This window comes from Homo sapiens, chromosome 16 (assembly GCF_000001405.40).
Source record: "Homo sapiens chromosome 16, GRCh38.p14 Primary Assembly".
Lineage (NCBI taxonomy): Eukaryota > Metazoa > Chordata > Mammalia > Primates > Hominidae > Homo > Homo sapiens.
The window spans coordinates 18,571,248-18,598,909 of record NC_000016.10 but is presented as its reverse complement, the minus strand read 5'-3'; the positions used below and the strand labels follow the sequence as shown (position 1 = coordinate 18,598,909).

The window sequence follows — 27,662 nt, the reverse complement described above, 5'->3', positions numbered from 1 at the left end:
AGAGCCAAAGGAAATAATGTAGTTTTCCCATATGTATCTGTCAGATATTGCTACAACAAGGTTGCATAACAAGCATCCCCCCAAATCTTGCTTACAACAAAAAAATATTTTTTCTTTCACAGGTCTGTGCATAGGCTGTGATTCTGCTGGGCTCTGTTGGCTCGGCTTGACTCCAGGCTGTGGGTTGGTCTGGGTCTGCACTATGTATCTTTTTATTCTGGGACCAATGGATCCCAAAGATTTGTACTTCTCAGGGTGGATGGCAGAAGTGCAAGGGGCCAAACCAGACCACAGAGGCACATATAAAGCTTTGACTTGCATCACATTTACTAACACTATTGGCATTAGCAAGACTGATATCAGTGGGTCAGGATGTATGTTCCACTCACAGTGGGAAGATTGCAAAGGTGCAAGGATGTATAATTCTGTTAAGAGAGGGAATGAAGAGTCGGGAACAATATCCAGCTTACCATACCACCCAGCTTACTTACCATTCCTTACCATACAAGGAAATAATGTATTTCTCCATTTTTCAAGAACGCTCATGTCTGAATAGTTTTATTATTTTCTTCAACAAATCTTTTATCTTGTTAGATTTATTGCAACGAGCCATATTTCTCTTTTTTACAAAATTTATTTAGAAAGTTACATATGCACATATGGTAAAAAGTTCAAAAAGTGGCACCAAAAGATATAACAGTGAAAATAAGGCTGGTTCTTGTTTTTATCCACTGAGGCAAATACTGAGTTTATTTTCAAAGGTATTCTGTGTGGGCACAATCACGCTTGCATATGTTAAAAAATACAAAATGGTATCATACTTGTTCCTCTGCACTTTCTTTTTTTTCTTTTTAACAACATATCTTAGAGGTAGTCCTATTTCAATTTAGCTAGACCCATTTCATTCTGTTTAATGGCTACATTTGTTTTTCATTGTGAGACTGTGCCATAATTTATTTAATCAGTGCCATATTGAAAGACATTTGGATCGTTTCCCAGCATTTGCAACTATAATCAAGGTTACATTAAATATCCTGTTACATGCAGGAAGATACTTTATTCACATGCATGGGTATATCAGTAGGTTAAAACTCAAATACAGAAACTGCCAGGTCAAGAGATACACATCTTAAAGTTTAATAGATATTGACCCTGTTTCTAAAAAGAAAGATTCCTTCCAGCATGTCTACACACATTTGTCTGCTCCTCTGTCTTCTGATTCTTGTCCCATGGTGTTATTTTAGGCTGAAATAATGGAATATGGTGGCTCAAAAAACTTATTCCCATAGGATCTCTGGGGAAGCTTTGGGTCTTGCCACATGGTCCCCAGTTGAACACAGGAAGTACTTGGCACTGTTGTTGCAACCCAAATCATCACTTTAATGAGCGTGCTGGCGGAGCGTGGAATGTTTCCACAAGCATGTGTACTGAAGAATTCCATGCTGCAGGCGAAATGATTTATATCCCTGGGAGTTCCCAGTAAAAAAATGTGCACAGTACCCTTTAATTTGATCTGCTTTCCCTGTAGCATCTAAATATTTAGGGCAAATAGAAAATAGTTCTGATTTACAATCTCTATAAAAATTTTAAACAACCTAATAAGACATTTGATCATGAAATTGCCTGAAATAATGTTGGCACTAGTCAGCCATATTTCTTCAAAATGGCCTGTAACTTCAGTGCAAACTCCCAAACATGGATTTTTTTTTCCTGCTAATAACAGTCTTATTAATAAAAGAATGATTTTCTTTACTGATCCTCAGCAGCTGTGTTCCGGGTGTCTTTGTTCAATAAAGGTAGAGATAATAACTGTCAGTGGAAAGAAAATGTGCTGAGGTTCCCAGGAGAAGTGGTGGAAACAAATCTTTTATTAAATCATATCAAATTGTGTTTCTCGTTTACTTTTTCCATTTTGTAAGTCACAGTCATATCTGCTAGTTTTTCGGAAACCTTGGCTCACATTTGTCAAAAAAACTTGGCTTGGCGTTCTTGAGGTTAATGCTGCGTGATCAATCAGGGTGATAAATTTGACATAATTAACTGTTGTAATGGCATTTCTGAGTCTGTTTCTCTTCTTTACTCCTGCTGAAATCATCTGAGATTAGTTAACTTCTGAATATTTCTTCAGATATGCTGTGGATGCCTAGAAAAAGAGTGGTAAGGAAGTGTCGTTGATATCTGGAGTTCTTATCTGTCCACAGGTTAATGATCTCTCTGAATAATAACACCCCTATTTCCCTAGGAGGATCCCTTCCCCTACTCCCAAGGCAGGTGGCTCAGATGGGCCTGATTTATTCCTGGTGCTAGGGGTGGGCAAAAGACCCAGACCTGACCAATCAAAAACATCAAATTGGGCCAACCAGAACCAATTAGAATTCTGGGACCTTTGCTACAACTATTGGAAAAGATAATTTTTTTTTTGATTGGAATTCCTGAAAGAACAAGACATAAACCTGCTTCTGGTTATCTTTGCTTTCCGGGGAAAGGTTTTTTTTAATGTTTATTTTTATTTTTTCTGAGACAGGGTCTCACTCTGTCACCCAGGCTGGAGTGCTGTAGTGCAATCATGGCTCACGGCAACCTCGAACTCCTAGACTGCAGAGATCCTCCTGCCTTAGGAGAAAACACCAGATTAACACAGATAACGGTGGTCATCTGCCCAGTGCTCACCATGTTGCAGGCACTGTGCTAAATGAACAGCCTTATCCTTTCCCGGGGTGCTCACAGCCATGAATGGTACCAAGCAGGCACTACCATATTCATTCCCTCTAATGCCAGGCCAGGTGCAGTGGCCTCTGCCTGTAATCCCGCCACTCTGGAGGCTGAGGTGGGAGGATTGCTTGATCCCAGGAGTTCGAAACCAGCCCGGGCGACATAGTAAGACCCAAGCTCTACAAAATACTTTAAAAAATTAGCCAGGGGGCCGGGTGCGGTGCCTCACGCCTATAATCCCAGCACTTTGGGAGGCCGAGGTGGACAGATCACCTAAGGTCAGGAGGTGGAGACCAGCCTGGCCAACATGGTGAAACCCTGTCTCTACCAAAAATACAAAAATTAGCCGGGCATGGTGGCAGGCGCCTGTAATCCCAGCTACTTGGGACGCTGAGGAAAGAGAATCACTTAAACCCAGGAGGCAGAGGTTGCAGTGAGCCCAGATCAAGCCATTGCATTCCAGTCTGGGCAACAAGAGCAAAATCCATTTCGGGGGGAAAAAAAAAGAAAAAATTAGCCAGGCATGGTTGTGGTGCGCCTGTGGTCCCAGCTAGCTACTGGGGAGGCTGAGGAGGGAGGATTAATTGAGTACAGGAGGTTGAGGCTGCAGTGAGCCATGTTGGTGCCACTGCACTCTAGCCTGGGCAACAGAGCAAGACCCTGTCTTTAAAAAAAATTCTATGGATAAATTGCTCTCTATTATTCTCTCACCAAGGAAAATACCACTTCCAGTTAAATTAAGACATGTAAGAGACATCTCGATTTTGGAAGTATTAGAGTGAAAAAAAAAAGTGAGACTAGAATCAATGAAATGAACATTTACTAACCCCATCCTATGGCTAAAGAAACCGAGGCAAAGAGAAGTTGAGCAACTTGCCCAAAGTCACAGGCCTTGTAAGCTCCTACACAAGGAATGGAATCCAGGGTGACGAAGGCATGACAAGGGTGAGACCTTTCACGTGCTTCTGTGACACCAACCTGGTTCTCTGGCAGCCTCACATCTGCCTTAACCCTGGGGTCACAGTGGACCTCTTCCAGCCTGTTGAATGCTAAATTCCACATGCAGCCCTCCCTTTGTGACTGCGTGAGGGAGTGAAGAAGTGATCCAGGAATGACTGGACATAGAAATTCTCCACTTAGCAAGTCTTTGAAGAGTGCCCACTGTGTGACTCACACTGAGCTGGGAACTGAAAATACAGCTGTGAACAACAGAGATGAGGCTTGCTCTCCCGGGACTGGAGTTTGAGGTGGGGAACAAGGCTCTATAATAAAGATTTATATAACTGGCCGGGCACAGTGGCTCACACCTGTAATCCCAGCACTTTGGGAGGCTGAGGCGGGTGGATTGCTTGAGGCCGGGAATTCGAGATCAGCCTGGCCAATATGGCAAAACCCCATCTCTAGTAAAAATACAAAAATTAACTGGGCGTGCTGGTGGGCGCCTGTAATCCCAGCTACTTGGGAGGCTGAGGCAGAACAATCACTTGAACCCAGGAGGCAGAGGTTGCAGTGAGCCAAGATTGCACCACTGCACTACAGCCTGGGTGACAGAGTGAGACTCTGTCTCAAAAAAATAAGACAAAACAAAAATATTTCTATAACTCATGCTTTAATGGCAGTTATGATGAGTAACATAAAAAAGCAGCCCAGGCCGGGTGCGTTGGCTCATGCCTGTAATCCCAGCACTTTGGGAGGCTGAGGCAGGTGGATCACCTGAGGTCAGGAGTTCGATACCAGCTTGGCCAACATGGTGAAACCCTGTCTACTAAAAATACGAAATTAGCCAGGCATGGTGGGGCACACCTGTAATCCCAGCTACTCAGGAAGCTGAGACAGGAGAATCACTTGAACCCAGGGGGCGGAGGTTGTAGTGAGCCAGGACTGTGCCACTGCACTCCAGCCTGGGCAATAAGAGCGAAACTCTGTCAGAAAAAAAAAAAAAAAAAAAAGCCCAGAGGTTAGAGAGGAGGGATCTGATCTCATCAGGAGATCAAAGAAGGCCTCCTGGCGGGTGGGTGGGGAATAGGAAGATCAATGCCTGCTCACCAGGCGGCCTTCCTCTTAGGCTCAAGGAAATGTGGACTCTCAAGACAGGATAGGGCACACCCAGCTCTGGCATGCTCAGGGGAACAGGAGCCTGGGACGCAGCACTCTGGCAGGACAGCATCAAGAGCTGCCCTCTCAGCCACCTAGGAGCTGTCCCCTCTGTCCCCTCCTCCCCTAGGTGACAGCTCAGGTATCAGAGAATGACACTTACATGGGACGGGACCTGCCCTGGCTCAGATGCTCCATACCCCACAGGAGCCAATAGCTCTTGGGGCAGCAGTCCAGGGACTTAGCTTCCAGAGTCCCCGGAAGGGACAAGAGCCACTGCACAGAGAGAAGTCTAAAGCTATGGCCTCCAACCAGGTATTCACAGTCAATGGACAGAACTTCCAGCCCAGATGCAATTTGGGATTTTTTTTTTTTTTTTCTTCTGAGATGAGGTCTCGCTCTGTTACCCAGGCTGCGCTGCAGTGGCATGATCTCAGTTCACTGCAACCTCCACCTCCCGGGTTCAAGCGATTCTCCTGTCTCAGCTTCCCGAGTAGCTGGAATTACAGGCACCCGCCACCATGCCTGGCTAATTTTTGTATTTTTAGTAGAGATGGGGTTTCGCCATGTTGGCCAGGCTGGTCTTGAACTCCTGACCTCAAGTGATCCTCCTGTCTCAGCCTCCCAAATTGCTGGAATTACAGGCGTGCACCACTGTGCCCAGCCTAGGGGTCATTTTTACCTCAAGCAGTATTGTCTGGGAACACAGCTGACAGGCCACCTTATCAGAAGGTTAATCCTTTATCCTCAAGGGGGAATGAGTGGAAGTTAAAATTAGGCTCAAAAATTAAAATTAGATTAGAGGGAGTGGAAACGGTGTCTAGGCAGTGAGAACAACTGCAAAGGCCCCAGGGTGGGTGGGTGCCTGGAGTGTTTGAGGAACTGAAAGGAGACCTGTGTGGCTGGAGGAGAGTGAGCATGGGAGGAGGTGACGGGATGAGGTCAGAGACACCCTAGGGACAGATCACACAAGACCTTACAGGAATAACTAAGGAGCTGAGGCTAGGAGTTCGAGACCAGCCTGACCAACATGGCAAAACCTTGTCTCTACCAAAAATATAAAAATTAGCTGGGCGTGGTGACACGTGTCTATAGTCCCAGTTACTCAGGAGGCTGAGGCAGGAGAATCACTTGAACCTGGGAGGCGGAGGTTGCAATGAGCCGAGATTGCACCACTGCACTCCAGCCTGGGTGACAGAGCAAGACTCTGTCTCAAAAAAATAAATACATATAATAAAGAGAAATAACTAAGGAAGTGAGAATGTATGGTGAGTGACTCTAATAAGCAAGGACTGAATGCGTTCTCAGCTGCTGATAACATTACTGCCTGCTCAGTGATACTGCTTTTCCTGGCTGGGAAGACCTGCCCTTGTCCCCCAGGGCTCACCTTTCTGTACACCAGGCCAGTGATGGCCGACCGCAGCCTCATCTACAGCACCTTGAGCCTGTACATGTTCTGCTGCTCAAACAGCGTTTGCAGGCAGGCCGAGAGGAACATCAGCACGGCGAGGAGGTAGCCCTTCCAGGCTGGAGGCTTGGGATCACCAATAAACTCCAGGAAAAGGCTTGCAGGGGAAGGAGGGAGAAGGTACAGCTGGTGAGAGGAGGTGCCTAAGGGTGTTGCCTTTGCCCAAACCAGTCCAGATGTGGAGGATCAGTCGGCCCAAACTAGTCCAGGTGTGGAGGATCAGTCAGTGTGGTTTTTTTTGCAATAATGGTCTCCGTTATTTCCCCCACTGTCCATACTCCTTTTCAATCTGACTGCAGCTCCTCAAGATCAAGAGGTGGAGTTTTTGTTCCCACTTGTTATAGGCTAAATTGTGTCCTCACAAACTTTATATGTTGAAGCCCCGACCCCCAGTACCTCTGAATGTGACTGTATTTGGAAATAGGGCCTTTAAAGAGGCAATGAAGTTAAAATGAGGTCATTAGGCTGGGCCCTAATCCAATCTGACTGGGGTCCTTTTAAGAAGAGGAAATGTAGACACATAAGGAGACACCAGGGGGCGCAAACAGAGGAAAGACCATATGGGGACACAGGGAGGAGGTGGCCAACTGCAAGCCAAGGACAGAGGCCTCAGATGGAACCACCTTGCAGATACTAATCTCGAACTTCCAGCTTCGAGAATCATGATAAAATACATTTCTGTTGTTCAAGCCACTCAGTCTCAGTCTGTGATGCTTTGTTATGTCAGCTGAGCAGACACCACTTGAATCTGGGCTGGCTACAAAACCGGCTTTGGCCAACAGAGTACAGTGGAGGTAAAGCCATGCTGGCTCTGAGCCTAGGCCTCAAGAGAAAATGTGGTTTTTGGTTTATTTCTTAGAACCCTCCCAAGCACCCACATGAACAAGTCTGAGCTAGCCTTTTGGAGGATGGGGACCCACATGGAGCAGAGACAGCCATCCCAGTCTCAGATACACAACTGCAGGCACATGAGAAAACCCAGCCAAGAAAAGAAGAACCACCCAGCTGAGCCCAGCCCACATTACTGACCCACATTACCATGAACTAAATAAAAGAATGTTTGTCATTTTAAGCCACTCACTTTTGGGGCATTTTACAGCAAAAACTAATTGGTGCAGTCAGGTAAGAGCTTGCTTATTTGCCCTTCTGGGGGTCAGTCACTTTCTCATTAATCCATTTCCCTTCCTCAGTATCCTTCTCACCCACCATCCAGTGTCCCGAGCACCAGATGTATAGGCAGAGGCAGGAGAGCTGAAGCCCCCTGGCCCTGGAAGGATGCCACTAAGAGACCACCCACCTTAGCAGGGCACTTGAGGTCTGGGACTCACCTGAGCAGCTTGGGGACAGTGAACCTGAAGACATCACTGATGACGAGGCTGAGGGTCCCCAGGAGGAAGGTAGAATGGAACACCTGCCAGATGGCCTTCAGCAGTGGGCGCCACTGGCTCCCTTCTTGCCGTAGGAAGGGCTCAGTCTCTGGAGCCTCCATGCCACTGCCGCCTTTCCTTTTAAATGCTATTGCCTTGTTGTGCCTGAGGGGAAGGGAGAGATTAGCTCTGGGTCCCATTTTATACTCTCAGCCACCAGCGGCAGGGCCAGGCATTAAAGGGTTGTTTTCCCAACAGTGGAGATGGGTGGGTGTGGATCTAGCCTGGCTCCCTCACCTGTTCCTCCTTATCACCCTGAGTACCCACTTAAGAGACAATCATGGGAGTTGGGGGGCAGGGCAGGAGGGCACTCTGAGGCCTCTTAGATGGCCATGGGAAAGCACACCTGTTGAGCACCTACTATGTGCCAGGCACTCCCCAGTCATCCTAAGACCCCCTGAGAAGCCAGGTGTTGTTCCCATTTCACAGATGAGAAAACTGGGGCTCAGAGAAGCGAACTTGCCCAAGGGCACACAGCTGAGAAGTAAAAGAACTGGAATTTGATTCCAGCTCTCTGCCTCCAGAGCCCATGCACTTTTCTTTTATCTTTTTTTTTTTTTTTTTTTTTTTGAGACAAAGTCTTGCTCTGTCGCCCAGGCTGGAGTGCAGTGGTGTGATCTCGGCTCACTGCAACCTCCACCTCCCAGTTCAAGTGATTGTCCCACCTCAGCCTCTCGAATAGCTGGGATTACAGGCAAGTGCCACCATACCCAGCTAATTTTTGTATTTTCAGTAGAGAAGGGGTTATGCCATGTTGGCCAGGTTGGTTTTGAACTCCTGACCTGAGGTGATCTGCTCACCTCAGCCTCCCAAAGTGCTGGGATTACAGATGTGAGCCACCACACCTGGCCTCTCATGTACTTTTCAACCTATCGTGTTGTCAACCTGGAGGAAGAACAGCACCCCGTCCCCAACACACACAATCAGCCAGCCCTTAGGTGGTTTTGAACTGGTGGAGAATCATGGCTGATGGGCATGGGGCCTGGTGCTCTAGCTCTGGGTGAAAGTGCAGACAGAAGCTCAGGCTGCCTCAAACTAATAAGATCCCCAGCCTTTGGCTATAACCAGGGGCCACAGAGAAGAGCTAAGGTGAGGGAGGGAGGGAGGAGATGGGGGAGGCCCGAGGGCGCCTGTGAGGCAGGTCAGAAGCCCTGGGCCAGAAAGGAGAGGCTGGGGCGATGCAGCTGCTGACAGTCCGGTTGCTGTGTGGTCCTGGGCGGGGACACTGCTCCTCTCTCTGTGTGTGAGAGGATGGGTGTGGTCCTCCGCTGAGTCCCCTGTGGCTCTGACAACCTATAAGTTTATCAGTAATTTCTTTTTCTTTTTTTTTTTTTTTTTGAGACGGAGTTTCGCTCTTGTCACCCAGGCTGGAGTGCAGTGTAGCAATCTCGGCTCACCGCAACCTCTGCCTCCTGGGTTCAAGCAATTCTCCTGCCTCAGCCTCCCAAGTAGCTGGGATTATAGGCACACACCACCATGCCTGGCTAATTTTTGTATTTTTGGTAGAGACAGGGTTTCACAGCGTTAGCCAGGCTGGTCTTAAACTCCTGACCTCAGGTGATCCACCTGCCTCGGCCTCCCAAAGTGCTGGGATTACAGGTGTGAGCCACCATGCCTGGCCACTTATCAGTAATTTCAATCCCCATTACAGATCTGTGACCCGGGGCCACGTGCTGGGATCAGCTCTTTACACGAAGGAGCTCACTGACTCCCCTGGATCCCCTTGCCAGGTGAGCATTATTAGGTTCTCCATTTTACAGAAGGGGAAGCTGAGGCTCTGAGAGATGGCGACAGCCGCCCGAGGTCACACAGCAAGGGCAGAGCAGGGTTTTGAGCCTAGATCTTGATTTATGGTTCGTAGAGGGTTTCTTGTGCACTAAGGACCCCCAACCTCACCATAATAAAATAATAATAAAAAAAGAAGCATAAGAAAAAACCTCTGGTGAGCTCAGGTGGCCAGACCCTTCAAGGCCAAGGTCTCTGTCCCACATTATTGGTCTGATCTGGTGTTTGGTTTGGCATCTATGGAGGGTTGTGGTTCAGCTCTGTTACTGAGTGGGTGTGGCCTGCTGCTCACAAATATTTTGGCATTTGGATCTCAAAGCCAAGAAGATGCCCCTTCCATACAGAGAGCATCCCTGCCCACCCTTTCCTGTTTGATCCTGCCATTTAATTCATTGCCTTCACAGCTATGCCCATGGCTCCAACCCTCTCTTTGTCTCGTTAGAACCCCAGGTGGGTAGACTTTGCCTGTGTTTTCCACCAAGATGTCCCTAGTATAGAGTCCAGCTCCTGCACACAGTGGGAGCTCAATAAACACTTGTCAAATGAATGGGAAAAACAGATTGAGTGATGTGTGCAAAGGGCCTAATAAGAGTGCCCCCCGCACATGCTGTTATAAAAATTTATAGAAGGAAGGAAGGAGCTTGGCTGGGTGGACAGAACTTGGCTTTGGAGCCAGGAGACTGTGGTTCCAATGCCTGCTCTGTCTCCTCTCCTCTGAGCCTTAGTGTTTCCATGTGCAAAATGGGGTCGGGGAAGAGTTGACTGGAAAGTTTTCTTTCTGGCTGAGGTTTTGCTCAGTTCTATTTGAGCTGTTTGCCCCAGAGAGTCAGTGTGTTCAGCCTGCAGGCTCCATAGCAAGTGTTTTCCTCTCCTGCAGGTCGCACCTCCCATCAAGGAAGATGTCCAGATTGCTGTCTGACGTCTGGTCTCTGGACTGAAGGCCATTTAGTGCAGATCTCACAAATGATGGTGGGGCAAGGCAGGGGGTATGCATGAGTGGCATGGGCAAGGTGTGAGTTGGGGGATACAAAAGGGAGTGGTGGAGGACGGGCACGGTGGCTCACACCTGTAATCCCAGCACTTTGGGAGGCCAATGTGGGCGAATCACCTGAGGTCAGGAGTTCAGGGCCAGTCTGATAGCCTGAGCAACATGGAGAAACCCCGCCTCTAATAAAAAATACAAAAATTAGTGAAGCCGACTTGACCAGCAGGTGGCTGTTGTGTGGCCTCTCAGGAGGACGCCCTCTCCCTTCCCCCAGTGGTTGCAAAATACTTCAGAAAGAAAACCAAAGTTCTCTGTGGGTGCAGTCGGTTGTTTCAGAAGCTGACGGAGCCTGGTCTTTGTATAACCCCATCTTTCCCCTTTCTTTCTGTCAACTGTTTATGGGAGGATTCTCAAACTGTTCTGGAGAATGTTTCTACCCTTTAGTTCTAGTGTTGGGTGACCTGTAATTTTCATGTTGGCTGGGGATGCCAGGAGTTGGCAGAGGCTCCTTCCAGAGCCCCTGTGGACTGAATTCTGCCACTTCCGTAAAATCATTTAAAAGTAGAGGGTGAGTCAAGTGCAGTAGCTCACATCTGTAATCCCAGCACCTTGAGAGGCCAAGGCAGGCAGATACCCTGAGGTCAGGAGTTCAAGATCACCCTGGCCAACATGGTGAGACCCTGTCTCTACTAAAAAATTTAAAAATGAGCTAGATGTGGTGGCCCACGCCTGTGGTCCTAGCTACTCAGAAGGCTGAGGCAGGAGAATCGCTTGAACCCAGGAGGTGGAGGTTGCAGTGAGCCGAGATCATACCACTGCACTCTAGCCTGGGTGACAGAGCGAGACTCTTGTCTCAAAAAACAAACCAACCAACCAACCCAGTGAAGGGGGTCCAGCAAGCCATGCCTGGGGTGAGAGAGAACTGATGTTTTGGTTCTCTCACACTACTTATTCTGTTTGGAAAAACACATGCCCTTCCTTTGTGGGAACAGCCCCTACCCACTTCTGTGGCTCTGAAGGGACCACCAGTCATGGCACCAGCCCCCTGGGCATGGGATTGGCCCCTGAAAGGCACATGACTTGAGCCGGGCCAATTAGAGGCCTTCCTTGGGATTTACTATATGGACGTTAGGAGAGAGATGCTCTCTCATTCTGCTGGAGTTTGCTGAACTTGCATGGGAAGGGATAGGCCTTATGGAGAGACCAACACATAGACAATAGTTGGGATGGGAGATGAAAGGAGAGAATCCTGACATCATTTGAGTCCCCTGATCCAGCAACACCTGAGGCTAGATCCTCTTAGCTGTGTGAGCCTATAGTATCAGTCTCTGTCTCCTCTGTCTCTCTTAATGTGTGGGATTCAGCCATCTGCAACAACTACCACAAAATCCCGGAGTATGCAGGGAACTTCCCACAGAGCTAACTTCCTTTTTTGTTCTGTCTCCTGAAACACCAAGGTCCGGTGAGGTTAAGCAACGTGTCCAGGGTCATCACTATTTGAAGGCAGGGCAGCATTTAACCCAATTTTATCTAATCCTATGCAGGCTCATTTATCTAGACCAGAGTTTCTCAAATGAGGCATCCCAGGCTCTAAGGGCTGCAGAGAAGTTTCCAGAGATGCCACTGAGGGCAGGAGTGGACAGAGTGGATAACTCCAAAGATCTTAACACCCTCTGGATGACTAACAGTGCTTGAGCACTTCCCATTTGCAAGACATTTGCAAGTTCTTTTCCATAAATCATCCTTTTTTTTCATCCCCATAAGCTATGAGCTGGGGCTAATGACATCCCCACTGAACAGATGAGAAAACTGAGGCCCAGGAAAGGAATTGCTCAGGTTATATAGTAAGTGAGCAGCTGCTTGTGTGTTGAGTCCCCTCCCAACCCTCCACCCCGGCCTTAAAATACCTCTTCTGTTTGCTGCCTGTCATTCTGCCATTTCCCCATTTGTAGGAACCTGTTTGTTCCCCGTTTGTAGGAACCTGTGATGCGTTCTGGGAGGAACCATATCTTGAGCCTGATACTACTTAGTGGGATCAGCTGGAAGGCAAGGTGGGGAGGCGGCAGTGCAGCCAGAGTAGCGTTGGGGGCTGGACTGGGGGTCAAATGATGAGGTTTTTTTTGTTTTTGTTTTTGTTTTTGTCTTGTTTGTTTGTTTTTTTTTTTGATACGGAGTCTGGCCCTGTCACTCAGGCTGGAGTGCAATGGTGACATCTCCACTCACTGCAACCTCTGCCTCCTGGGTTCAAACGATTCTCCTGCCTCAGCCTCCTGAGTAGCTGGGATTATAGGTGCCTACCACCATGCCCAGCTAATTTTTGCATTTTTAGCAGAGATGGGGTTTCACTGTGTTGGCCAGATTGGTCTTGAACTCCTGACCTTGTGATCCGCCTGCCTCGGCCTCCCAGAATGCCGGGATTACAGGCGTGAGCCACCGCACCCGGCCAATGATGAGCTTTTCTGAAGGAGCATCAGGTGAGTTCTTGACCTCCACCCACTTACCCCCGGGCTGCACTGCGGTTCCTCATCCACTCCTTTTCAAGCCGGGAAACAAGTTCTTCTGAGGAGTTTTCTCTCCCAAGCGACCAGAGGTCTTTTGGTCTCAGTGGCCTCCTGTATCCCCTCCAGACCAGGCTGCAAAAGAGGGGCACCAGGGAAAGCTTTTCCTGCCATTCACCCCTGCAGGATCCTGGCCAGGCAAGTAGCTGTGTGACCCTGGGTAAGTCACTTTACCTCTCTGTACCTCTACTGGCCCCTGGGTAAAAAGAAAGCAATTCACTAACCCCACCTAATGTCTGCAGGGCATTTCTCGTTTCACAAAGATTGTCTCATTAATTCTTACATGAACCCATAAGGTAGGTTATTATTGTTTGTTTGAGATGGAGTCTTGTTCTGTCTCCCAGGCTGGAGTGCAGTGGTGCAATCTCGGCTCACTGCAACCTCCACCTCCCAGGTTCAAGCGATTCTCCTACCTCAGCCTCCTGAGTAGCTGGGATTACAGGCACCCACCACCATACCCGGCTAATTTTTGTATTTTTTGTAGAGATGGAGTTTCACCATGTTGGCCAGGCTGGTCTCGAACTCCTGACCTCAGGTGATCCACCTGCCTCAGCCTCCCAAAGTGCTGGGATTACAGGCATGAGCCACCACACCCAGCCTGTAATTTAATAGTTTATAATTGTATAAATGTGTGAGTATATTATTATAGATCTATTTTACAGATGGGGAAGGAAATAGAAGTGCAGAGAGATTCAGTGGCTAAACCAAGGGATAGCCCTTGGCAAGGGAAACAGACATTTCCCTGGGAATCGGAAGTCCGTTGACCAAAACTATCATTGTAGAAGAAGCTTGAACTCCTCCCTCAGCTTTTTTTTTTAAATTATTATTATTATTTTTTGAGACGGAGTCTCACTCTGTTGCGTAGGCTGGAGTGCACTGACGTGATCTGGGCTCACTGCAACCTCCGCCTCCCTGGCTCAAGTGATTCTTACGCCTCAGCCTTCTGAGTAGTTGAAATTACAAGCCACCATCACACCTGGCTAATTTTTGTGTTTTTAGGTGGTGTATCACCATGTTGGCCAGGCTGGTCTCGACCTACTGGCCTCAAGCAATCCTCCCACCTCAGCCTCCCAAAGTGCTAGGACTACAGGCGTAAGCTACCACACCTGGCTAATTTTGTTGTTTATAGTAGAGATGGGATTTTGCCATGTTGGCCAGGCTGGTCTCGAACTCCCGGCCTCAAGTGATCTGTCGGGGTTGGCCTTCCAAAGTGTTGGGATTATGGGTGTGAGCCACTGTGCCTGGCCTCAGGTCTCTTTAATCTTTCTGATGACACCAGCCAGAAGGTCTTGCCTGGTTCTGATCTCTGACTCTTCTCTAAGCCTTACCAAGTTCCCTTTTCTTTTTTATTTTTATTCTTTTTATTTTTTTGAGATGGAATCTCACTCTGTTGCCCAGGCTGGAGTGCACTGGTGTGATCTCGGCTCACCACAACCTCCACCTCCTGGGTTCAAGTGATTCTCCTGCCTCAGCCTCCTGAGTGACTGGGATTGCAGGCTCCCACCACCACACCTGGCTAATTTTTATATTTTTAGTAGAGATGGGGTTTCACCATGTTGGTCAGGCTGGTCTCGAACTCCTGACCTCAGGTGATCCACCTGCTGCAGCCTCCCAAGGTGTTGGGATTATAGGCGTGAGCCACTGCGCCAGGCCACCAAGTTCCCTTTTCTAATGCAGAGCCAACTTGGGGAAGCAACCGTTCTGACATAGAAATTATTAACGTGGCTTGATTTTCCCTGAAATTGTTATTGGAGTTCTCCTATATGGCAAGTGATGCTATAGATTTTTCCTATTTTAGCAGTGATAGAGAGTTTCTTTTTAAAAACACTTTATTCAAGTAAAAAAAGTGACTCAATTTAGTTTTTGCCCCAGTAGGACAAAAAAGCATCAAGAGTGGTCCATAAATGCTTAAGTTTGGGAAGCAGGGGCTGGACCCCCCAGTAGAGCTGTTTAGAAAATCTCTAAGCTCTTTCTACCAGTTCCACACATTCAAAGCCTGATATTTTTCATTTATTTAATAGCCATTTAGGCCGGGTGCGGTGGCTTATGCCTGTAATCCCAGCACTTTGGGAGGTCGAGGGTGGTAGATCACTTGAGGTCAGGAGTTTCAGACCAGCCTGGCCAACATGGTGAAACCCAGTCTCTACAAAAAACTACAAAAATTAGCTGGGCATGATGGCAGGCGCCTGTAATCCCAGCTACTCGGGAGGCTGAGGCAGGAGAATTGCTTGAACCTGGGAGGTGGAGGTTGCAGTGAGCTGAGATTGTGCCATTGCACTGCAGCCTGGGCAACAAGAGTGATACTCTGTCTCAAAAAAAAAAAAAAAAAAAAAAGAGAAAATGAATAGCCCAGGCACAGTGGGTCACGCCTGTAATCCCCAGCACTTTGGGAGGCCGAGGCGGGCAGATCACCTGAGGTCGGGAGTTTGAGATCAGCCTGACCAACATGGAGAAACACTGTCTCTACTAAAAATACAAAATCAGCCGAGCATAGTGGTGCATGCCTGTAATCTCAGCTACTCGGGAGGCTGAGGCAGGAGAATCACTTGAACCCAGGAGGCGGAGGTTGCAGTGAGCCAAGATAGTGCCATTGTACTCCAGCCTGGGCAACAAGAGTGGAACTCCATCTCAAAAGAAAAAAAAATAATTACCACTTACACTCATTATTTGCCAGGCCCTGTTCTAAGTGCTTTACAGATCTTATCTTATTTAAGCTTCACAACCCTATAAGCTAAGTGCTATTATTAATCCCATTTTGAAGGAGTGGAGACTGAGGCACAGAGAGGTTAAGTAACTTGTCCAAAGCAACACAGCTAGGAAGTGGTAGGGCCAGGATTCAAATCCACATGTCAGGTGCTACTGAGGTCTGAATGCCGTGTGGTTGGGAGGGAGCACATCCTCAAATGCCTTGTGAGCTGGCCCTGGAGAAGCAGCTATTTTCTCAATCTGCCTGGAACCCTCTAGAAAGTAGACACTTGCTCCTTTATCTCCTCACCCCTGGGGCTTAGCACATAGTAGGTGCCTATTAAATGTTGGTGGAATGACTGAAATCAAGTATTGGAGACAATTCTATTACTATTAAGCACCCGCTGTGTGCAAGCACTAAGCACTTTCCGTCTCATGCAGGTTGAGTCATCCCCATTTTACAGAGGGAAAACTGAGACTCCGGAGGTTTGCGACATGGCCTGCTAACAGGCAGAGCCGGGATTCAAATCAAGATCTCACTCCAGTGAGTGAATGGGAACAGGATGCAGATGGTAGACACTGAACACGAAGAAGAAAGCACTGAGGCTGGGATGGAGAAAGACTTGCTGGCCTTTGTAAGCACAGGGGAAGGGCCATGGCTGGGAATCAGAGCAGCAAATGCAGGCGGGTGAGGCACCACCCCAACCCTTCCGTGCGACTTTACTTACCCAGAAACCCACCAGAACGTGGCTTTGGAGGGGAAGGCTGCCCCAGTCTCTGGACAGGGGTTCTGCAACAGACAAAAATGGAGAAGGGAAGTATGTGGCAAGGGTAGGAAGACAGGACGAACTGTGTATTTTTTTTTTTTTCGAGACAGGGTTTCACTCTGTTGCCCAGGCCAGAGTACAGCGGTGTGATCTTGGCTCACTACTACCTCTGCCTCCTGGGTTCAAGCGATTCTCCTGCCTCAGCCTTCCAAAGAGCTGGGATGACAGGTGTGCGCCACCACACACAGCTAATTTTTTGTGTTTTTAGTAGAGACAGGGTTTCACCATGTTGGCCAGGCTGGTCTCAAACTCCTAACCTCAAGTGATCTGCCTATCTCGGCCTCCCAAAGTGCTGGGATTACAGGCGTGAGCCACTACACCCAGCCCTGACGGTGTATTTAGTACTGAAAGTAAACATCGAGGTGCCCTGTCTCCTTGCCAGGGGTGTAGACCAGTGAGCTTGGTGCTTCCCAGCAGGCAGCGTAAAAAGAGGTTGGGCCACAGGCCTGACAATGTCCACAAGGTAAGAACTAACAGTGGCTCAGAAGAACAACTATGATTATACTGAAACCAAAACCTTGCTTTGCTTCTCAAAAGGAAGGACACTGCATAACGAAGAAATTAGATCCTTGACAATATCCCTCGGCAAATGTTGTGAAGACAGACCTGTCGTGCGATTTTTGTCAGGTGCTCCAGGAAGATTACAACAGTCTGTACTCTTTACCAATAAGGCGTGAAGGTGCCCATTTCACCACGTTTTTGCCATCGCAGCTTATCAATTTTTAAATTTTGTTCCTACTCTGGTAGGTACAAAAAAGATTCCTATGATAGTTTTAACTATTCTCAAGCCTTCGAGCAATTTTTTTTTTTTTTTTTTGAATACAGGGTCTCGCTCTATCACCCAGGCTGGAGTGCAATGGTGCAATCATAGCTCACTGCAGCCTTTATCTCTTGGATTCAAGCAATCCTCCTGCTTTAGTCTCCACAGAGCTACTCTGTAGTGGGACTACAGGCATGCACCACCACACTTGGCTATTTTTAAAAACCTTTTTGTAGAGATGGGGTCTCACTACATTGCCTAGTCTGATCTAGAACACCTGGGCACAAACAATCCTCCTTCCTCGGTCTCCCAAAGTGTTGAGATTACAGGCATGATCCACTGCATCTGGCCCCATTTGAACATCTGTTTATATGATGTCAGATCAGTCTCTTCCACAAAAGAATTGTTTCTTGATTTCACAGACTGCTTCAGTGTTACCTATTGTAAATCTCTCAATCTCTCATGAGCTTCTTCTATGGAGCACTTACGCCAAGGGTAATTTTCTTTTTCCTTCTTTTTTTTTTTTTTTGGTGGAATTTCGCTCTTGTTGCCCAGGCTGGAGTGCAAATGCACAGTCTCGGCTCCCTGCAACCTCCACATCCCGGATTCAAGCAATTCTCCTGCCTCAGCCTCCCGAGTAGCTGGGATTACAGGCGTGCACCACCATGCCTGGCTAATTTTTGTAATTTTAGAAGAGATGAGGCTTTACCATGTTGGCCAGGCTGGCTTTGAACTCTCGACCTCAAGTGATCCACCTGCCTTGGCCTCCCAAAGTGTTGGGATTACAGGCATGAGCCACTGTGACCATCCAATTTTCAACATATTTGTTTAATTTTGTGACCAGTGTCTGGTTCCCCTGCTTGACCAGTAGCTACGTGAGAACAGAAACTCTATCTGCTTGTTCACCATAGATCCTTATGCCCTTGCTAGGGCATAGCGGGGTTTGGCAAACTATGACCAAATCTGGCCCACTGCCTGTTTCTGCAAATAGTGTTATTGCAACACAGCCATGCAATTTGTTGACATATTCTGCTTTTGCGTTCAATGGCAGAGTTGAGTAGTTGCCACTGAGATCACTGTATGGCTCACAGAGTCCAAAATATTTTCTCTTGGCCCATATAGAAAAAGTCTGCCAACTGTGGCATCGAGTAGAAATGCGATACACTTTTTGCTGAATGGCTAAATGAATAAAAAAATTAAAGACTTTTGGTCACCTGGGGGAGACTGAGACCTCAAAGTGGAACAGGAATGAGGTTGGAACTTGGTGACTTACAGACTGCTGGGGGTCTTCAGGGAAGAAGGGGGGTTGATCCGCCAGGCAGGACAGCACAAACTGTGCCACCACCAGAGACAGGCATAGGTAGGTGGACAGGTGGCGGACAGGGTCGCTCTGGAAGCCCTGTGGGAGGGAAAGCAGAAGGTAAGGAATGGAGACAGAGGAGGGTGCTCAGAGGAGAGAAAAGGTTTCTGATCTGGGGTCAGTGCCCACTCTGGGGACCAGGGCAAGAGTATTTGAAAGCCAGAGCCCTGGCTTTCCTAGCGGTTCTAATTTTCTTTCTTTTTTTTTTTTAAAGACAAAGTCTCACTTGGTCGCCCGGGCTGAAGTGCAGTGGTATGATCTCGGCTCCCTGCAACCTCTGCCTCCTGGGTTCAAGTGATTCTCCTGCTTCTGCCTCCTTAGTAGTTGGGATTACCGGTGCCCACCACCATGCCTGGCTAATGTTTTTAAAAAATATTTTTAGTAGAGATGGGGTTTTGCCATGTTGGCCAGGCTGGCCTCAAACTGCTGACCTAAAGTGATCTGCCTGCCTTGGCCTCCCAAAGTGTTGGGATTACACGCATGAGCCACCACGCCCAGCAGGTCCTAATTTTCAAATACCCAATTTATAATATTCTGTCTGTACAAATGGTGGGCCAGGGCTGTGTCTGGGTTTTGTCCTTAGCCACGTGATGATTGGCCACAGCTGCTGGGACAATGAGATGAAGAAACAATTTACCTTCTTCTTTGTGCCACAAAAGAAATCCTTTCTCCATTCCACCCTCTACCCTAATCTTCAACCCTGCTCCCCCTTGGCCAGGGTTCTCTGTTTTGCAGAGGTGAGAGCTGGTTTTATTGAGCACTGACCCTGCCCTGGGCACATGCGGCATTCTTGCCATACACAGTCTCATCAGCTGGAGTTTACTTGCTTCCTTTGACTCATGGGGAAAACAAGGCTCAGAGAAGTGACAGCACCTTGTTCAAGGACACGCAGATGATCTGGTCCAAATTGTGATGCTCCTGCTGCCACACCACAATGATTTTTGCACCTTCTGCCCTGTCATCTGGTCAGAAACACCCTAATTTTCTTTCTTTTTTTAATTTAAAACATTTTTTATTTTTTAATTTTAGGTGTGTGTGTGTGTGTGTGTATACTTTTTTTTTTTTTGAGACGGAGTCTTGCTTTGTCACCCAGGCTGATGTGCAGTGGCATGATCTTGGCTCACTGCACCCTCCGCCTCCTGGGTTCAAGCGATTCTCCTGCCTCAGCCTCCTGAGTAGCTGGGATTACAGGCATGTGCCACGACCCCTGGCTAATTTTTGTATTTTTAGTAGAGATGGAGTTTTACCATGTAGGCCAGGCTGGTCTTGAACTCCTGACCTCAGGTGATCCGCCTGCCTTGGCCTCCCAAAGTGCTGGGATTACAGGCATGAGCCACTGCGCCCGGCCTGCTATATATATTTCTAGATGACGTGAGATATTTTGATACAGGCATGCAATGCATAATAATCACATCAAGGTAAAGAGGTCTCCATCCCCGCAATCATTTATCCTTTCTGTTACAAATGATCCATTCTACTCTTTCAGTTATTTTATTTTTTAGTTTATTATTGAGTTGGAGTCTCACTCTGTTGCCCAGGCTGGAGTGCAGTGGCTTGATTTTGGCTCACTGCAACCTCCATCTCCTGGATTCAAGTGATTCTCCTGCCTTAGCCTCCTGAGTATCTGAGATTACAGATGTGTGCCAGCACGCCTGGCTACTTTTTTTGTATTTTTAGTAGAGACAGGGTTTCACCATGTTGCCCACGCTGGTCTTGAACTCCTGACCTCAGATGATCCTCCTGCCTTGGCCTCCCAAAGTGCTGGAATTACAGGTGTGAGCCACTGTGTCCAGCCTCTTTTAGATATTTTAAAATGTACAATCAAATTATTATTGACTATAGTTACCCTGTTGTGCTATCAAATAGATATTATTCTTTCTGTTTTTTTGTACCCATTAACCACCCCCATTTCCCCCACCCACTTTCCTTCCTAGCCTCTAGTAACCTTCCATCTACTCTATATGTTCATGAGTTACATTGTTTTAATTTTTAGCTTTCACAAATAAGTGAGAATATGTAAAGTTTGTCTTTCTCTGCCTGGCTTATTTTGCTTAACATCCATGTTGTTGAAAATGACAGTACCTCATTCTTTTTTATGGCTGCATAGTACTCCATTGTGTATATATACCACATTTTCTTTATCAGTTAATCTGTTGATGGACACTTAGGTTGCTTCCAAATCTTGTTTATTGTGAACAGTGCTGTAATAATCATGGGAGTGCAGAGATCTCTTCCATGTACTGATTTTCTTTCTTCCTAAGTTTTTTGCTTGTGTTCAGGCGTGTGATTTGTGTAGAACTGACCCTACTCCGAGGCTGGGTGGGTGAATGAGGCCTGGCCAATGAATACATTCGAGTCTTTTGGCTACCATGGCAGGGTTAGGAATGCACATAGCACCCAATGCTGGGTACTTGAGAGCTGGAACCATCGGGAGATTCTGCTGGCTTTGCTACATGCTAGAATGTAAGTATGAAGGTATTGGTGGCTCTTCTTGCCACTCCATTGGAGAATCAAGCTAACATGGCAGAGCCAAGAGGCAGAAGTGGAGATCTGGTGATGGTACCTGGTCCCAGGCCTGGATCAGTCATGCCTGGGAGATCCCATGGGTATGAGCTAATAAATGCATGAGCTAATGAACCCCCTTGACTTTCCCTTTTCATTAAGCTAGTGTGAACTGAGGTTTTATGGCTTTAAACCAGAGCCCTAGTTTTAAATCACGATTCCTCTACTGGATTTTATACTCTTCTAGTTTTGGGGTTTTTGTTTGTTTGTTTGTTTTTTGGCAGATAGCAGACAATTGGATATTCCAATGACAATATGGCCCATCTTCCCTAAACTCCCACTGTTTTCCCCACTGTTTCTCTCAGAAAGTTTGTTCTGAATTTGCCTGAGATGAACTCGGGCTCTGCACTCCCAAGCTTTGTGGCCCTGAGGCCGTCATTCCCTTCTCCTAGCCTTAGTCTCCCTCATCTTTAAAATGGGACGGCTGGAATTCATCATTGGCTGGGGCACATTGGCTCAAGCCTGTAATCCCAGCACTTTGGGAGGCTTAGGTGGAAAGATCGCTTGAGCCCAGGAGTTTGAGACCAGCCTTGGGAACATAATGAGACTTTGTTTCTATTTCTATTTAAAAAAATAAAGAAGAACCCATCACTGTGAACTCTTGTGAGAATCCAGTGAGGAGACGTGTGTAAGTGCCTGCCACAGTGCCTGGCACATGGTTGGAACCCCAGAGTGTATATGGTCCCAGTATTATTGTTTCTATGCTGTGTCCCAAAAAGCTGACTTATGTCAACTGCGGGAGCCCACCATTTCAGAAATTACTGAATAACCTGTGGAATTTCCCCTTAGTTACAAAGGTTACTCTTTTAAAAACTCTGTCCTTGGTCAGGCGCTGTGGCTCATGCCTGTAATCCCAGCACTTTGGGAGGCCGAGGTGGGTGAGTCACTTGAGGTCAGGCATTTGAGATGAGCCTGGCCAACATATTGAAACCTTGTCTCTACTAAAAATACAAAAATTAGCTGGGCATGGTGGCACATGCCTGTAATCCCAGCTACTTGGGAGGCTGAGGTATGGGAATCGATTGAACCCGGGAGGTGGAGGTTGTAGTGAGCCAAGATCGTGCCACTGCACTCCAGCCTGGGCAATAGAGCAAGACTCTGTCTCAGAATGAACAAACAAAAAATAAAAACTCTGTCCTTAAGGACAGGGTGATGCTTCTCTACCTTCTCCTTTAGGAGCAGGATGGAGTAACCACTGGACTGAAGAAATGATCTGTGAGTCCAGACGTGGTGGCTCATGCCTCTAATCCCAGCATTTTAGGAGGCTGAGGTCAGAGAATTGCTCGAGCCCAGGAGTTCAAGATCAGCCTGGGCAACAAAGCATGATGTTGTCTCCACAAAAATAAAATAATGAAGTAAAATATCTGAAACCTGCTGCAGCCTATTCATTGGTGTTAAGCTAACTCCCTCTCCCAGAAGCCTTGGCTAAGCACACTGTCGAGGCCAGTGCTTCTCAATAGGTGGGTGACTTTGTCCTCCTCACCCCCAGGGACACTTGGTAATATCTAGAGACATTTTGGGTTACTGCAATTGGATGGTATGCTACTGGCACCTATGGGCAGAAGCCAGGGATGCTGTTTCACACCCTGCAGCAAACAAGACAGCCCTGTCCACCCAACAAAGAATTGTCTGGCCACAACATTACTAAAGCTGAGGCTGAGGGAAGCTGGTCTAGGCTACATGTTTTTCTCTTTACAGAGAAAATGACCCATCATGTCTCCTAATAGAGAAACGCTGCTTCCGGCCGAATGACAAGAGCTCACGCCTGTAATCCCGACACTTTGGGAGGCCAAGGCAGGTGGATCACTTGAGGTCAGGAGCTCGAGACCAGCCTGGCCAACATGGTGAAACCTCGTCTCTACTAAAAATACAAAAATTTTTAGTAGAAATTTAGAATAAGCCAGGTGTAGTGGCACACACCTGTAATCCCAGCTACACAGGAAGCAGAGGCAGGAGAAGTGCTTGAACCCGAGAGGCAGAAATTGCAGTGAGCTGAGATCATGCCACTTCATTCCAGTCTGGGCGACAGAGCAAGCCTCTCAAAAAAAAAAAAAAAAAAAAAAAAAAAGCTGCTTCCCAGATTGGACAACAGAAATACGAGTGGTGTGCAGAATGAGTGTGTAAATATAGGTGCATAGGAACATGGGGAGGGTGAATCCATGACATGAGGGGAGGTGTGCACGGAGGGGTATGTGTGCACACAGGTGTGTCTGTGCCCAGGTTGTGTGTGTGTGCGTGCATGCATGTACTTGTGCGATGTATGAATCAGTGCCTATAAGTGTGTGCATCGTGAGCAAGTGGCACGTGTGATGTGGGCGTGTAAGACAGGAAATTGTGTGGATAAGAAATGTATGGGATGATGGGTACTGACAGGTGCGGGAGTGGATTTTGTGTCTCTAGAGTGTAAGTGACTGGCTTGTGTGTGTCACTGTATAGAGAATAAGTTGTATGTGGAAACAGGAGGAGAAAGGAAGGGACCCAAGGCATGAACCACCATTTTGGTTTCCCAGGGTGGCCCACGCCCCGACTTACCGCTCCGGAGGCCTGCTGGGCAGCGTTGGTAGCTGGCAAGACAAAGCAGAGAAGCCAGTAACCAAACAGCACTCCAGATGACTGGACTCCCTTTTTCCTCTTGGTGTGAATCAGGAACACTGCGAAGCTCTGGACGGGAAAGTCAGGGAGGCCCCTTAGGGGAGGGTGGGAGGCTGAGGGGAGCCTCTTCTCTTCCCCTTGTTCTCCACTGTGGCAGGCAAAGCAGCAGCTGGGAGGAAGCCGGGCTCCAGACTGAGGGCATCATTACCATCGTGGTGAGCCACACAGTAGGATGAATGAGGAATTCTGGGGCCTCAGGCGTTCCCTGTTGGATTTTCCAAAGAGCGACAGCCACGCTGGAGGTACACAGGACTATGAGGGCGAATCCAAGCACCTGAGGATACAGGCTTAGATAAGCTTGGGGGGCAATAAGAGAGGTCACAGCAAACTGGTAGGCGGCCCCATGTCCAACTGGGAGCTGGTTCTGCAGCATCCTGGCTGATACTGAGTATACCAGGGTCACCAGCTAGAAACGTGCCAATGTGAACAATGTGTAAAGGGCATTGCAGATCACTCCTGACCTGTAACTGTCATATAAATAATGCACAGGAAGGGCTTGAGCCAACCGAATGTTTTCCAAAATGCAGGAAGTGCTCCAATCGTGCACATATGAGATGACTCTGGGTATGGAGAAACAGCAGGAAATGAAATGTACTCACCAGGTAAAAAACTATCCTTTCTCCAAGTCATTTTTCAATCCTTGCTATGAAATCAAGAAGCAACTCTCTGTTGGGCCAGTAAGTCTCTAGGGTCTCTCTAATATATTTTGGTTTCTCTATTGAATAAAAGAAAGGAAGAAAATGAGAGAACGTGGGCACACCAGAGGGAAGGCCAGAGCTAGGTTACGTTGGAGGAACTGCTCAAAGAACCTCAGTTTAAAGCAGAAGTTGGCAAACTATCAATCATCAAAGAAAAACAAAAAGCATATGTCATGACAGGTGAAAATTACATGAAATCCAAATTTCAGTGACTACAAATAAAGTTTTATTGAAACACAGTCGGCCGGGGGTGGTGGCTCACACCTGTAATCCCAGCACTTTGGCAGGCCAAGGCAGGCAGATCACCTGAGGTCAGGAGTTGGAGACCAGCCTGGCCAACATGGCGAAACCCTGTTTCTACTAAAGATACAAAAAAATAGCGAGGTGTGGGGGTGGGCACCTGTAATCCCAGCTACTCGGGAAGCTGAGGCAGGAGAATCACTTGAACCCAGGAGGCGGAGGTTGCAGTGAGCCGAGATCGCACCATTGCACTCCAGCCTGGGTAACAAGAGCAAAACTGCATCTCAAAAACAAAACAAAACAAAAAAGTAACACAGTCATGACTATTGTCTATGGTTATGACTATTGCGTTCATTCTGGAATGGCAGAGTTCAGTGTTCGGAAGGAAGATTACCTGGCTCACAAAGTCTCAAATACTGTGTACCGCTTGGCTCTTTAAGTTTGCCAACCCCTGGGTTGGTGGCGGGTGATAATATAAAAATTAATACAATGGCAGAAGAATGAATGAACTCTGAAGAACATTCTTTGGAAGCCTACAAGAATGGAGTAGAAGAGGATGGATGAGCAGAAAGGCTCACACTTGGAATGCCAGTGTTTATTTAACACACTAAGGTAAATACATATCACATATAAAAATTGTCCTATAATACAGCCAGTGGGGGAACATAAAAATAAATGCATAACTTTTTAAAAGGTTCATCCTAATGTGGCCCTAAAATTACCTTGTGTATCCAAGAGTCTACATGGTATGTTTTGGAAAATGCCAGGTTATGGTAGCTATAAACTGTCCAGGAACATGGGAGTGTATGCGTATGTTTGCGCATGCGTGGATTTTCGGAATTACAAAATCTGTTTGGGAGAACCGTGTTCCACTGAATTGACCTCTGTAGCCTTTCTAATATTGCTCTGTTTGATTAACAGATTCCCTTCTACACCCCGATAGGAGGAGTCTACTTTAAGACTTCACCAGGTTCCAGCCTGTCCCCTGCCTCCCCCCACCATTGCCTGGTTCCAGGCTCCCAGGGATGGCAGCTACCATCTTGGCTTTGAAGAGTGGGGAACATCCGGAGGTAGCCCCGGCCATGGTGGTGGATGAAGAGGAGGTAGATGGGACCAAGGACCCAGAGGTACATGGGGGGTACCCAGACCCCTGCTGTTCTCAGGAAGCACAGGCTCAGCAGGCTGGTGGCGGCAGGTTCAGGCTCTGTCTGGTTCCAGACCTGAGGGAACACAAAGAGGACCCTTAGGATGGTACAAGGCAGGGGTCCCCAGCTCACCTGCCCGGGGGGCCAGGCAACTTTTTGGATCTTTAACATTTACACAAAAATGTGCCAAGCACTCTTTGGAATACCTACTAATTCTCAATTCCTTTCATCCTGACATTAACCCTAGGTAGTTGCAATTATATTGATTTGCAGATGAAGAAGCTGAGGACCAGAGAGGTTGAGTAACTTTGCTGAGTTTACCCAGCTGAGGAGTGGAAGGGCTGGGATTTGAACCCAGGGAACTGGGCCATGTGGTCTAGGAGACCTGGGCTCCATAATCATTGCTAGGCATGGACTGTCAGTTAATCCTTATAACAACTCCAGGACGCAGACAGTACTGTCTCCATTTCAGAAACCAGCAGACTGAGGCACCAATCGGGGAAATGCCTCCCCCAGGGACACACAAATGGGAAGTGGCAAAGCTGACTCTGACCCAGGCTTATCTGACCCCAAACCTCGTTCGACTGGTGGTCTTGATGTATGATTTATTTTTATTTTTTATTATTAATTAATTTATGTTTTAGAGACAGGGTCTCACTCTGTTGCCCAGGCTGAAGTGGCACAATCAAAGCTTAACAAAGCTTCGAATTTCCTGGGCTCAAGCAATCCTCCCACCTCGGCCTCCCAGAGTGCTGGGATTACAGGCATAAGCCGCCTCACCAGGCCTGGCTAATTTTTTTTTTATGTTTTGTAGAGATGGGGGTCTCTCTATGCTGGTCTCGAACTCCTGGCCTCAAGCAATCCTCCTGCCTCAGCCTCCTAGGTACTGGGATTACAGGCAAGAGCCACCGGCCCAGCTTGATCTGTTATTTTCATCTCAGCAGGTCTGCTGGTCCTATCTAACCCTAGAAGAAATTTGAAGTTTAGTGGACGTGGCCTCTTCAATTCTCTCTCCGCTGTCTTTTTACTCCTCCTGGTTTCACAACTCACTGGCTGTGCAAACTTTAACCTCTCTGTATCTCAGTTTCCTTCCCTGCAAAAGGGGGATAACGAGACTCTACCTCTATGAGTTGTATTAAATGGATGAATAGCAGCAAAGTTCATAGCAGCATGGCACAAGGTTGGGCACAAGGCTAGGCACAGAGAAAGCCCTCAGTTCATTGCCAGTTTATTGCTTCAACTCCCTGGCCCTCGAAATGCTGGCAGTTTGCAACCCCCACCCCCACTCCATGAACTCCACTCCCTGGAGTCCTTTGCTAAGAGCAATGGAAAAAGAAACCAGAGAGGTAAGGGCTCTCCGGGGGTAGGAGGGCTTGGGGGACCCACTAGCTTTATGCAAAGAAGGGTCAAAGCCTCTAGTAGCTGGGAGGTCTGGTGGCCCCTTAAATAGAGCTGGGCTCTCGGCGGCTGGCTTGGTGAAAGAAATCCAACCCGCTGCAGTGAGGGGGCCGGAGTAAGTCTCCTCGCTTCCCGGGTCCAGGAATTTGGGGGTCTCTCCTCTCCCCAGTATCGCAGCCCGAGAGATCTGCAGCCAAACCAAGCCTGGAAAAGGAGAGTGGGGCGCGATGGGGGGCACTCACCCCCTGCCCCGCGCAGGGCTCAGCAGGCGCGGCCATCGGCGCCTTCTGTCGTCGTGGGTCCCAG

At 47.7% G+C, this 27,662-nt stretch overlaps 1 pseudogene across 1 annotated transcript, besides 1 other annotated feature; it reads right to left on the bottom strand.

Annotated features, from left to right (window-relative positions):
• Window positions 1-620: 620 nt before the first annotated feature.
• ABCC6P1 (ATP binding cassette subfamily C member 6 pseudogene 1) lies at window positions 621-27,662 on the bottom strand (annotated as a pseudogene). The gene is made up of 10 exons (NR_003569.1): window positions 27,599-27,662; window positions 25,850-26,033; window positions 24,024-24,149; window positions 23,756-23,884; window positions 18,575-18,700; window positions 16,443-16,504; window positions 12,973-13,104; window positions 7,603-7,806; window positions 6,194-6,371; window positions 621-2,143 (listed from the first exon to the last, which is right to left on the bottom strand). The product of NR_003569.1 is annotated as an ATP binding cassette subfamily C member 6 pseudogene 1 (transcript).
• Window positions 21,889-22,183: an enhancer, noted in NCBI's record as "tiled region #10538; HepG2 Activating DNase matched - State 5:Enh". NCBI's record gives its function as "activates a minimal TATA promoter and a strong SV40 promoter by Sharpr-MPRA in HepG2 cells {active_cell/tissue: HepG2}" and the evidence as "EXISTENCE:reporter gene assay evidence [ECO:0000049][PMID:27701403]".